The sequence below is a fragment of the Homo sapiens genome, chromosome 20 (assembly GCF_000001405.40).
Source record: "Homo sapiens chromosome 20, GRCh38.p14 Primary Assembly".
Taxonomy (NCBI): Eukaryota; Metazoa; Chordata; class Mammalia; order Primates; family Hominidae; genus Homo; species Homo sapiens.
In genome coordinates, this window is record NC_000020.11 from 6,635,749 (window position 1) to 6,648,992 (window position 13,244).

The 13,244-nt window shown below is 39.8% G+C and overlaps 1 annotated feature.

The window, feature by feature from the left end:
* Positions 1,503-2,016: an enhancer, noted in NCBI's record as "OCT4 hESC enhancer chr20:6617898-6618411 (GRCh37/hg19 assembly coordinates)". NCBI's record gives its function as "activates a minimal SCP1, AML or CMV promoter by ChIP-STARR-seq in naive H9 embryonic stem cells {active_cell/tissue: H9 hESC(naive)}" and the evidence as "EXISTENCE:reporter gene assay evidence [ECO:0000049][PMID:30033119]".

Sequence of the window (13,244 nt, forward strand, 5' to 3'; positions counted from 1 at the left end):
GAGATGTCCCGGGTACTGTGAAGAGCTCTTGCAACAAAGCCCACATCATGTAAGTAAGTCCTCATGACCACCTTAATAGTTGTGTGATATTATTGTATTCCTTATTTTAGAGAAGAGGAAACTGAGGCACAGGAAGTTTGAGTACTAGAGTGTCAAAGTCATACAGCTAGTAAGTGTCACGGTCATCACCTCCAATTATCTCTAAGCCACAGATGACAGCAATTAAATGATTTACCCAGGATTATTCACCCTAGATGGCAGAGATAGAAATAGAATTTCATTGCCTCTAGATAATGGGACAGTATAAGAAAACTCCACTCACTTGAAGTTCTTTCCAATTGACAAATGTAGTTGGCAATTTATTACCCCAGAGAAATACTTTTTCCCCTTGCTTTTAGATGTATCTGTTGTTAAAAGGGGGGAACAAAAGTATCAATTTTGTATAAAGAGTTCGGAAATAATTTGAGTTTTACAGGGTGTCACTTAATCTTTGAATCTGGTTTTATTCGGTAATATTTTGAAAACTACTCAGGCCAAAAAATCCGGATAAAACTACTGTCCTGGCACCAAAAATGGAAGAAATGGTAACTGCTGTTCCCTGCATCCTAGGCATTTCCCTGGGCTTACATAGAATTTATTCCAATGTTCCACCAGGTGGTGCTCTGGTGAAGACATGGTTCTCAGGCTCTCCAACCCCTTGACGTTATGCTTGGAAATATTTTGAGTAGATTAAGTCATTTCTCCTAAGAAAGAGGCTGCCCAGTAAAAGGAATATGATTGCCCATTTTGCCAATAAGACACAACGTGCACACAGAGAAAAGTCCAACGGGAATCCTCAGATAAAGGACAATCGTCCCTGAAAAAGTCAGTCCCAAAACATCTAAGAAGGTATTAGAACAGTGGTCTTGGCTGAGTCTTATGGGACTAGAATCAGGAATTTGGAGCTTGCGTTTCTGCTACTAATCTATGAGTCATTTGGAGAACCTCATTCTTCTCTGGACTGCAGTGTCCTCACCTATAAAATGTGTATAAGTGTACTGGGGTGGTGGGGAGGGGGTTAGACTGTATCAGCCTTCTTCTACAGGGGGCTCATAAGCCCAATCAATGGTATTTGTAGTCCAACCTCCTGAAGCTGTGAAAAAAACTTTGTGTGTACACATATTTTTCTGGGAAGAAGGTCCATTGCTTTGGACAGATCTAATCAGAAGCCAGGAGTCCTAAAATGTTAACATCTGGATCAGATCATTTCTAAGGTCCTCTCCAAGCTTCAGTATTCTATGATGTTATAATCTTTCTGGGAAGGAACTTGTGGCTGTCAAATTAATTGGATATCCCTAGCTATGTTCTAGCCGCATCCTTTCTTATGTACTCTCTAATGATTTTGTTAAGGCAGTCACACCTAAGTTAACAGAGTCCTGCAACACCCTCTCTACTAGATTAGGTGGCACATCATGTGACTGATGTGGTTCATTAGGGAGCCAAGAGAGACCAGAGGAGCTGTGAGAGCAACTGGCCAGATCCCACAGGAGCTCAGTGGTGGAAGCAGGTGCTAATTACCATCCTTTGGAGGAACAGGATATGCATTTTTTGGGAGTGGGTAAGAATTTCTGGTTAGACAAGCTCCAAATTCTTTGGCCTACTTTGAAGGCACTGCCTGTTCCATTGGCTAGGATGAGATTTTGTTTCCTGATGAGCACCAGCTCAGCCAGGAAGGAAGGCTCAGAAAAGGAGGTGTGGATATTCTTTGTGGAGGAATTGTCATGCAAATAAAGGCTCCTTCCCAACCCAAGGTGTAACTGTGAGGGAGTGTCAGGGTCCCACCTTTCTGGCTCAGGAAAAACATATCTCTTACTTTTTTACAGGAGTAGGTTTGGTAGCTGAGTAATGTAATTATATAGATTATAGATTACCAACAAACACTGAGATTTCAACCTGTTCTGGATATATATTATTTGTGAGGGGAGGGGCTTGGAGAAAAAGAGCAGGAATATTGGTTGGGATGTAGCCAATGGGAGAACCCCATTATTAAACAGAGAGTGCAGTCCAAGCATTGCACCCACAAGAGGAATTCAATGTAGGGAGATATTGGGAGTAGAGATCAGTGCTTGGGAGAGAGGAGCTGGGAAAGAAAGCAATTCCTCCAAAGGCTCTAAGTCAGCGTGTTGTCCAGAACGGAAATTGAGTATAGGAAGAGAGATTCTTTCTTGGACTTTGGAATATCTAGTCTGGTTCCTTTTCAGAATGATCAGACCACCTTCCTTACCTATTGCCTGGGCCAATGGTTCTCAGCCCTGGCTCTGCATTAAAACCACCTTTTAAAAATTTGGCAATCTCTGGGCCAGGTGCGGTGGCTCAAACCTGTAATCCCAGCACTTTGGAAGGCCAAGGCAGGTGGATCACTTGAGGTCAGGAGTTCGAGACCACCCTGGCCAACATGGCAAAACCCTGTCTCTACTAAAAATACAAAAATTAGCCGGGTGTGGTGGCATGTGCCTGTAATTCCAGTTATTGAGGAGGCTGAGGCAGGAGAATTGCTTGAACCTGGGAGGCAGAGGTTGCAGTGAGCCGAGATCATGCCACTGCACTCCGGCCTGGGTAACAGAGCAAGACTCTGTCTCAAAAACAAAAAACAAAAACAAAAAACTTAATGATGTCTTGGTTTCATGCTAAATCAGTAAGTCAGAATATCTGAGGTTAGAGCCTAGCATTGCTACTAAAAAAGTTATTTCCTTGTGACTTTAATATGCTGCCAAGGTTGAGAACCACTGGCCTACACCAATGATGGAAAACATGGAACATGCATGCTGATAACCCCCTCCCAAGTTCATGGAATGTGTTTGTTTAGTAATTACAACATTCTTTGTGCACTACAGAACTTGTGCACAATGCCTGGAACATAGCAGTTGCTCAATAAACATTTATTAAATCTAGTGATCTTTGGGGCAAGATGGGGTGGTGATATCTTTCACTTCAGCACCCATTTTAATTTATTCCTTTTCATTAAAAGGACAGTGAAAAATCATCTTTTTTTTTTTTTTTTTAGACAGATTTTCACTTTTGTCACTCAGGCTAGAGTGCAATGGCACGATCTTGGCTCACTGCAACCTCCGCCTCCTGGTTCAAGTGATTATCCTGCTCAGCCTCCCGAGTAGCTGGGATTACAGGCACCTGCCACCATGCCTGGCTAATTTTTATATTTTCAGTAGAGACGGGGTTTCACCATATTGGCCAGGCTGGTCTCGAACTCCTGACCTCAGGTGATACACCCACTTTGGCCTCCCAAAGTGCTGGAATTACAGGTGTGAGCCACCACGCCCCACCATCCTTTCTATTTACAATTCTCCTTCTATTTGAAGTATGCTTCCTCTTTTGTTGTTGTTGTTGTTCTTTTCTCTCATTACTTTCTTCCTCTCCTTTCTTGGAAAGATACATACTAATTCCAAGAAGTTAGGGTGGAAGTAAACAACATGGAAGGAAGAAGAAGAACAGCACTATCGTAGTTTCCTTGATTATTGGTCTCAGGTGATGCCTTGGGGAGCACAAATCCCACCCCAACCCCAAAGAGAAGGAGCTCTGTCATGGATCTCAAGAAAACCAGGCCAACCCAATGAGGCCCCCTTGGCCCAAGGAGGTGGCAACACTTTCAGAGGGATGAATAAAGGAGATGGAAATAAAACTGGGACATGAAAAAGCCTTTTTCAAAAAGAAGCTCTCTTTTGTTCCCGCACCATGTTGTCATCAGTAAGCAGGCTTGCTTATGGAATGCCACGATGGATCCAGATAAAGAAAACAGCCTGTGAAGCAGGACAGGTTTACCCCAGATTTCAGGGGAGAGGGGTATTCCTCATCCCATGAGGATGGTCAGTCTAGAGGGTTAAGAACAGTGTGTGGAGGAAAAAGAAAGAATAAATTCCTTAGGGTATTTTTATCATAAGCCTTCAGTTAAAGGAAAAGGAAATATTAAAACTTATGCAAGGGCCAGTTCCACTCTCCAGGGTCTCAGAGCTGTTCCTAGAAATAGTGTGCATTTTTCCTTGGCTACATAGGTGCTTCAAGACATTTTCTTTTCATACAATTATCACAGTTTATTAGCATGTATTTGTGTATTGCCTACTTTATTATTCCATTCTCACACTGCTAATGAAGACATACCCAAGACTGGGTAATTTATAAAGAAAGAGGTTTAATGGGCTCACAGTTCCACATGGCTGGGGAGGCCTTACAATTGTGGCAGGAGGTGAAGGAGGAGCAAAGGCACATCTTACATGGCAGCAGGCAAGAGGGCATGTGCAGGCTAACTGCCCTTTATAAAACCATCAGATCTCATGAGACTTATTGACTATCATGAGAACAGCATGGAAAAGACCTGCCCCCATGATGTAGTTACCTCCCATCAGGTCCTCCCCACCCCACAACACATGGGGATTATAGGGCTACAATTCAAGATGAGATTTGGGTGAGGATACAGCCAAACCATATCACCTACCTTACTCATTAGTCTCTTGGTTCAATACTGAATCCCCAGTACCTTGAATATTAGCACGTACAGGTCACTCAAAACTGTGTGTTCGGTGAATGAATAAATTGCACAAAAATTCCCACAGCATTTATTGTCCAAAGAGGCAGAGAATGATTGGCAGTAATTTATTATTATCCTATTTATTTATATTTTTATTTGTTAAATCAGTCCTTTGTTAAGGCGATTTTTCTAATTTGATTAAAAAATTTATAGCCTATGTGTGATGTGAGGAGAGACATAAAAGACTGGGTGTGTCCTATGAAGCCTCTCAGAGCTCATAGTCTAGAAGGAGAGATAATCAATGAGGCAATATTGAAAGCATCACTTAGGTCTCAGGGTACTCTGGGGCCACACAGAAACATGCCTTCCCAGACAGGCACAGCTTCCAAGAGGATATTTGGGAAGAAAACTATGGCAAACAATGAAAACCAAGGGAAGGGTCAGCTGTAGGGAGGAGAATGCTTCCTTCCTGTTTGGGAATGGGTACAGAATGGATCAGAGGGGTGAGCAAAAGTTGGGGGGATTAGTTAGGCAACTGGTGCAATAAATCAGGAGAAATGGATGAAGACCTAAGATCAGGCAGTATGTGGAAATTGTAAGAAGGGATGGATAAAATGTGAAGGAAATAGGGTTGAGGGCATTTGTGGGGTGATGGAAACTAGGAGCAGAGGAGAGACTAAAAAGGAGCATTTGCAGTAGTGAGAAAACCAGGCAAAGAGGAGTTGAGGAGTTAGGAAACTAAACCAGCGTACTAAACAGAAGGAGTGGTCCGAAGTGTCAAACGCTGTTGATTGTGGCAGAATAAACAGCAGTGGTGAAATGAAGACAGGAGGTAGGTTATAGGTGAGAGAGGAGTGAAGTGCTAATGTCTCTTTCTGTAATAGATGCTCTACCTAGAAAAAAAAAAAGAGAGAGAGAGAGAGGTGGGATGGTAGCTAGAGGGAGATGTAGGACCAAGCTAAAACTTCTAAAATGGAAGGAAATTTTCAGTTGTGTAGGCGAGAGGAAGGATCCAGTGAAAAGGGAGAAAAAAGAGGAATTGGGATATGTGTTTTACCCTTTTGCTATGGATTCCACCTTTAAACACTTTTGTTATCATCTTCAATGACTTCCTTCTGACGCATTGTTAGACTCTCCTGCTGAAGCAAGTGCTCAATCATACTGCAAGCCTCAGACAGCATCTAATCAAACCTGATCATTCCCACTTAGCTGGCTTCTGATAGTTGGGTTACTTTATCTCTTGGCTCAGAGATTCCTAATTTGCTGTTCACAGATCCTCATGGGGTCCACATATAAAATTGTACCTTACCATAATTCATTTCATAATCTATGTATTGTTTCATGCTTTTGAAAGGATATATTGGCTTCCCCAGTCTGCCAAAGAAGTCCATGACACAAAGATACCCCCAAACCCTTCATCGATATACTCTAAGTTACAGCTATGACAAGCTCTGTATTTAGAAACTAACAACTTTCTCCTGTTTCCTGTGGATCACCCACTTACCTTCTCTGTTCCAGATCAATGAATCAGGGAAATTAATAGACTGGAAATGTCTTCTACCAATTATTCCCAAAGATACGTAATAATCACCTCGAGAAATAGACAAAAGAATAGATTCCAAAATCCCATATTACAAAATCCCATTCTGAAAAACCCTGAATTTAGTACATTTAAAAAGGAAACCAAGAATCTGCCTTTTTAAAACAAGCTCCTTGGCTAATTTTAATGCAGATAGCCTTTGGACAACACAAAGAAACATATCACTTATCTTTCCCTGGCTTTTTTTAAAATGTGTCCTAAATATGATTAATTCTATTGAACATGTTCAGTTACTTTGAGAAATATCAAATCCTCAAACTTAAATCTTTTCCAAGTTTCCCCAAAGAAATGCCGCCATCTCTAATCTTTACTCACGTGAACAAACCAATCTCTGTTGGTATTTGTTTAAACATTTTGAGAGGCTCATCACATCACAGAGAATGACATACAAATCACAGCACATAGGGAAATGGCTGTGTGTATGGAACTTTTCAGAATGGAGGGAAAAGGGAACAATATTCTTAGAGAGGTACAGTTTTAAATTTTTGGAAATCGCAAAGCTTATAAATATAAGAAATGAGTTTAAGGGAAGATAAAATGTAATAGGTGGTGATGCGGCCAGGAAAAACAAAAAGCCTAAATAATACAATTAACATTTTTTTTTTTCCTGTGAAGCAGCCACAAAGTAAACCAGGAATTTCCTCTAATACCAAACCATCAGATGGGTTTTCCTGGGAGTTACTTCCCACACCTGAACAAAATTTCAGCTGATCCCAAGTGACACAGTGTGTAACGATATCCCGCTATGAGGAGGGCCCATGATTGCAGGACTCTTGGCAGTACTAGTGTGAGTTGAAACAATGAATGAATTTGCCAGATCTGATCAACAGTTTCAAGGAAGAGTGGACTCACTAATCTTTGAGATCTGGGAAAACCTTGAGTGGGGCCTTCGTGTTCCTATCTTTCTGAGTTGAAGAAGGAACTCATCCTTCATCTCCAAGTCAATGGTACCAGTGGCTTCTATTCCCAGGTATGTCAAATTCCTGCCAACAAAGCTAAACAGAACATTTCAGCACCTTGACCCTTACTGAGGAATTTTTAAACCAGGGTTAGAAGTGGAGCTAATCTGGACAGAGGAGAAGGTAAAAGACATAAAATCTGTCTCCAGTGTCTGCACTTCAATTAAAACCCATATTTGAATCATGAAGTAAGTTGGGTCTACGACTTCTCAATAATAATGGGTTTCAATAAACTTGCAGAGACATTCCAGAGGCTCTGTCAATATATCAATCAATCTATAACTCTTTTGGCCCCCAAACAATGTTTATCTATTTAACTGTGATTACCAGATGTTTTGGTTGATCTACTAGGTGCTTGACAGCAGCTTTTTTATTTATAGAAAAAAAATCAACAAGAGTGTGGAATATTATTCTCCACATTCAACAAAACCATTTTGCTGTAATGACAGCCACTAATGGACAGCAGCCATCAGTTAAATAACATCAGCCAATGATGGCAAGATAATATGGGGTACAGTTTTCATGTGAGTCTCCAATTTAATAGGGGTTAAAAATAATCTTCAAGGTCATCATATTGGTAGCACTTTTTTCTTATCAGACACTGGGAGTAATAATTTATGAAGCATTTTTGAGTTCACTTGCACATCTGCTCCTTTGGACCAGGGAAAGCTCTATGAGAAACACATTCTCCCCATGTTCTTATAGCACAACAGGGTTCATATTTTATTGATGGGTTTCTTAAAATAATGGTAATAAAAATATAATTTTAGGCTTTTCCAGAAGACACCTGATTACTATCCAGTAGCCACTTGCTCATCCTTTTCTCTTGCCTGCAGAGTCCTCCCCTTATTATAGATATGGAAAATGCCAGATAATTTTTTCTCAAGTCATCCTTGCAAATAAGTTCAGGTCATGTGACCATAACCCAGCCAATGAGTACTGAGGGAGAAGTCTTCACAGAAAATCCCTATAGAAAGATTTTATTTTCTAGTAAGAACCTGATGTTTGAGAAGTGATTCCTTACCTCTCTGTCTGCTGGCTGTACAGCCAGTTGTGTGAGAATATGTGCTCATAATTGTGGCAGCCACCTTGTGACTATGAGAGGCAAACCAAGAGATGGACAGTGAAGTGTCCCAACGTGGTTGATCTGCTCAAGTAACCAACTCTGAAAACACCTGTGTCTGGGCAGCTTATTAAATGCAGTTGGATATCTGTTCTTTGCAGTCAAAGTCTTCCTAACAATGCTTTACTAATTCATTTTAAGAATGTTTACTGAGTATTCACTAAAGGCTAGCCACTGTGACAGGCACCGGGCTATCATGGTGAGCACAACAGACATTATTTCTGTACTCTAGGGATTCTCACCTAGGGGACAGACAGAAGTTGATTAGAGGCTATCTAATGTCATATTTAGCTTCATTGCGTTGGGAGTTTGTGGTTAGAGAAGGCTTCCCTGAGGAAGTGATGCTTGAGCTGCTGTCTGAAGAATACATGGAAACTAATCAGATGAAGAGGGATGTTCTCACTGTGCCTTTGTGAATTAATCAATCAAACTATCTCCTGAAATCAATCAAATTATCTCCTGAAAGCCAATGAAGTCAACAAATAGAATCACAGGAGAAAGAAAAGTCACCCCCAGTTGTCAACTATTCAGCCAACTGTCTCCCAAGTTAGTGATACATCAAGTGTTGATGAGGAAGGATTTTTGCAGACTGACAGCCCAATCCTTCTTCCCGTGGGCCCATGTGGACACCTTATTGTGATCGTTCTTATACATACAAAACGTCGTAGTTTTTATGGTAGCTGAGGTCATGGAGATCAGTTTTCATTTGCTTATTGTACTTGTTATAAATGGTCTAATAAATTATCTCTTTTTGCTAAGAATTTCCATAATTGGTTTCAGCCTGAGGGCACGTTTTTTGTTTTTAAACATTCAGCCATTTTGATTTATGTGAATGTGAAAAATCTACATTTTTTTTCTGTGTTTAATCCAATCTACAGAATATTATTTAGCGCAAGGAAATCTCCAAAATAGCTGAAGCTTTTCACTTATTTAGATTTCACCAAAGAGTCCCCAGGGTAGAACGAAAACATCTCCAAGCTAGGGTAATTTTACAAAAACTGCTTAGAGTTCAACAGCTATTTCTGTACTTTCAGAATTCTGTAAACATATGGGGGAAAATCTGTCCACAGTTATGCCGGAGCAGTGCCCGAGCCCTGAATTCCCCTATCGTTTCATTGTTGGGAAGGGCTAGAGCCCTGATTCAATGTCTGTGTTGCAAAGGCCCTGGAGCTTTTTCACCTTTCTATTTTTGCCCTGTTAGACAAGGTCTTCCGTCTTTTCTTCCTTGAAAAATCTGCTTATTTCCTCTTCCTTCCTGCGTCCTTCCCTCATTTCTTTCCTTTCTTCCTTCCTCCCACTTCCCTCCCTCCCTCTCTCTCTCCCTTCCTTCCTTCCTTCCTTCCTTCCTTCTTTCCTTTATTTCTTTCTTCCTTCCTCTTTTTTTCCTACCTTATCTCGTTTCCAGATATCTGCCTAATTTCTCCTAGTTCTGGTGCTACATCCTCCTCTAACTTAGAATCACGCTTAAGTGCTATAGGCCAAGTATGTTGTGTGTTAGGGAGGAACAGAGTACTTTCTATTTGCATCAAAAGGGATTTTCATGTTTAATGGCAGGAAGGATTTTGGTTTGTGGGTGAGGAGAGGGGGTGCTGAGAGGGAAGTCTGTCTTGATTCTAAAAACGGAGAATATTTCTAAAGTAAAATATCCCTTCTCATGTATGCCAGGGTCCTGGGCAATGACAGCTCCAAAATATCAGCCACTTTCCCCTTTTTGACTGGGGCATGTCCTGGGACACTTCAGTGTGACCTCACATTTAGACACTCAGTGTCCAAAGGAGTTAATAAATAAGGCTTTGACATTTTCTCTAAATGTGATTGTGCGTACATGCATACTGTTATAGAGGTTAATGATGAATCCAAAGATGTCTATTTTACAACTTAAAACTTGTGTCCTTTTAACTGAACCATTCAATTTCCAATAAACCATGAAATAATACTATTTATAAATACATGTACTAATCTTATAAATATCACAATTTTCTATTGCATTGTATTATTAAAAGTGTTAGCAAGTTTAAGATAAATATTTAAAACAATTAGTAATTTTTTAAATAAAATGATAACCTTTATTTTTCAATATTATAGGAACTTAAAAGAATGATGTATTTTAGGCTTTTCTTGACTTCTGGGACAACGCAATCTTGTCTGTTTCACTCAGGGAAGTATTCTTTCGGTATTGTGATGATAGGATTCCTAATCTGAAATCTAAACAATTTCTCCTAGAAGGTAATGAGGTTTTACACAAACCTTATTAAGTCAGTCCTTTGCTAATTGAATGTTTAAAATCTGGGGCCTACTGGGTATAACATTTATTGAGACAAAGTAATTAACATTTTCTTTCTTGATGCATTTCTTTCAATATTATGCTTAAAACCTCAACACATAGTAGAATGCTTAGCATATAATAGGAGTTCATAATAGCTATTAAAAACAAAGTATTAAGTAAGAGAAATGTGTTCTAGAACTGGCAGTCTTCTTGAACCAAGAAAGGCTCAAGGGAAACAAAAGGAATCTCAACTATGTACCTCAGATTTCTGAGTCCAGAAGTTCATTTTCAGTGGCAGTACAAATGTGGGACATTTTTGGTTAAAATACGTATTTTACTGTATAGGTCCACTGTGATTTTAAATGCCCTTATGTTGCTTAACAGACATTACTTATATCTACTTTACAATGTGCACTGGGCTTCACAGCATTAAAGGTGGAATTGTTTTAAAAAGTAGCCTTTTAGTAAGTCAGATACATTATCGATATGCTTCCAAATACTTGGTCTAGGAGGAAAATAAGGGGAAAACATAGTGAGGATATATTGAAAAATATTTTTTTTCTCAGAAGAAAGGAGATACAGTTTACATAAATTTGAGAATTCGGCATTGCTTAATTCTCCCTAATGTCTACGAGAACTTCTGCTTTAAAACCAGCCCCAAGAACACATTGGTCAGCCAGCTCTTGTGCTGAATCCCAGAATATTAAGAACCAATTTAAATGCTTATTAAAATTATTATTCTTGTCTTACTTTTATATGTCTATTTTTCTCTATTCATAGATAGTCATCTCTATCTCAGTTACCTATCTAAATAAACATATACATGAAACCAAGCATAATAATGCCATACATAGAAATCTAAAACAAAGAGAAATTTTAAAACGATTATTTATATGAGAAAGAGTTCACTCGGATATTGTTGCATTCTTTCGTGGTTGCTAAGTGCGTTTATTCCAGAAGGGTCTCCTATGCAGCAGGCCCTGAGGTAGGAGTAATAAGAATAATAAATACAGTTGAGGCAGAGATGTCGGGGTGATGCTCAGAGGAAGCCGATGTTGAACCAGGTACATTATAGAAATAAAATATCTAAAAAGGAGGAGAGAAAAACATTTTTAGTTTCAGCAAAATTGATGTAATTGTGAAAGAACACATTTTCCAAGAACACTGAGGACTGTGGGTGACTTGAATAGAGGATGGTTTTAATGGAGAATGTGAAAGAAGATGCTTTCAAATTAAATTCACACCAGATTTTGAAGGACCTGTGACCTGTGGTAAGGAATTTTGTAGTTTAACTTTTATTTTTTATTTTATTTTATTTTTTGCTTATTTTTGAGATGGAGTCTCCCAGGCTGGAGTGCAGTGATGTGATCTCAACTCACTTCCACCTCCACCTCCGAGGTTTAAGCAATTCTCATGCCTCAGCCTCCTGAGTAGCTGGGATTACAGATGTGTGCCACTGCACCCAGCTAATTTTTTTTTTTTCTAGTTTTAGTAGAGATGGGGTTCTACCATGTTGGCCAGGCTGGTCTCGAACTCCTGGCCTGAAGTGATCCGCCTGCCTCGGCCTCCCAAAGTGCTAGGATTACAGACATGAGCCACTGTGCCCAGCCTAAATTTAACTTTTAGACTATTTCCATCATAAGCTTCATTAGTGGCTACCTTTTCACTGTTGAGTCCACAGTGATTATTCCAGGGCATTGCATGTTATAGATGCTTAATAAATGGTTGTTGATTGTATTGACAGATAGGTATTTTTAGAAAGAGGAGCAACAGGATCATATCTGTGTATTTAGTTAGTCAAGAAGAGAAAAATTCAGACAGCATATATGTAATGGGAAGGAGCAGTCCTCAAGCAATAAAGGTGGGAGGCGGGAGATAAATACCTCAGCTTCCCCACCCTTGTCAGCAGGAGTGAGCCCCAGATGCCCATGGTGGTAACATACAGTAGTCCCCTTATCCACAGTTTTGCTTTCTGTGGTTTCACTTACCCAGTCAACCAAGAGCTGAAAGTAGGTGAGTACAGTACAATAAAATTCTTTGAGGGATTACAGTCTCATGACTTTTGTGGTATATTGTTATAATTGTTCTATTTTATTATTGGTTATTGTTGTTAATCTCTTACTGTGCCTAATTCATAAACCAAACTTTATCATAGGTATAACGTGTATAGAAGGAAACGGTGTATATAGGGTTCAGTACCATCCACGGTTTCAGGCGTCCATAGGGGAGACTTGAAATGTATCCATCAGGGATAAGGAGGAAGTACTGTATTTACCAACATGTCCTGTATTGGTTTCCTTTCTTTTCTGTTTAATTTCCTTACTTCCCCAGGAATGCTTCCTGGGTTTACCTTACAAATAGACTTCCCAAACTTGCAATATTATATCTCAAGTTCTGCTTCTGGGAGAACCCCATTCAAGACAGAGTCACATGGTCCTTATAACGGTCTACACAGAGATTATTAGGGCCTCATCTAAAACAGTGACCATGAAAAAAGTGGAAGGCAAAATTCTAAGATATTGCCCCAAATCCACATCCCCTGATGTCCACACATCTTCTCCAAGCTATTCAATCAAGCATTAATCTCAGTGCTTCTGTGAAGGGATATTGCAGAAATAATTGAGGTCACGAATCAATTGACTTTAAGCAAGGGAATTATCACGAATGTGTCTGAACTAATCCCATGAATCCTCAAAAGTGATAGGCATCTTCCTGATGAGACAGATTCAAGGCATAAGAGGGATTTGATGGGAGGGAGATTCTCCATTGTAGCTTTG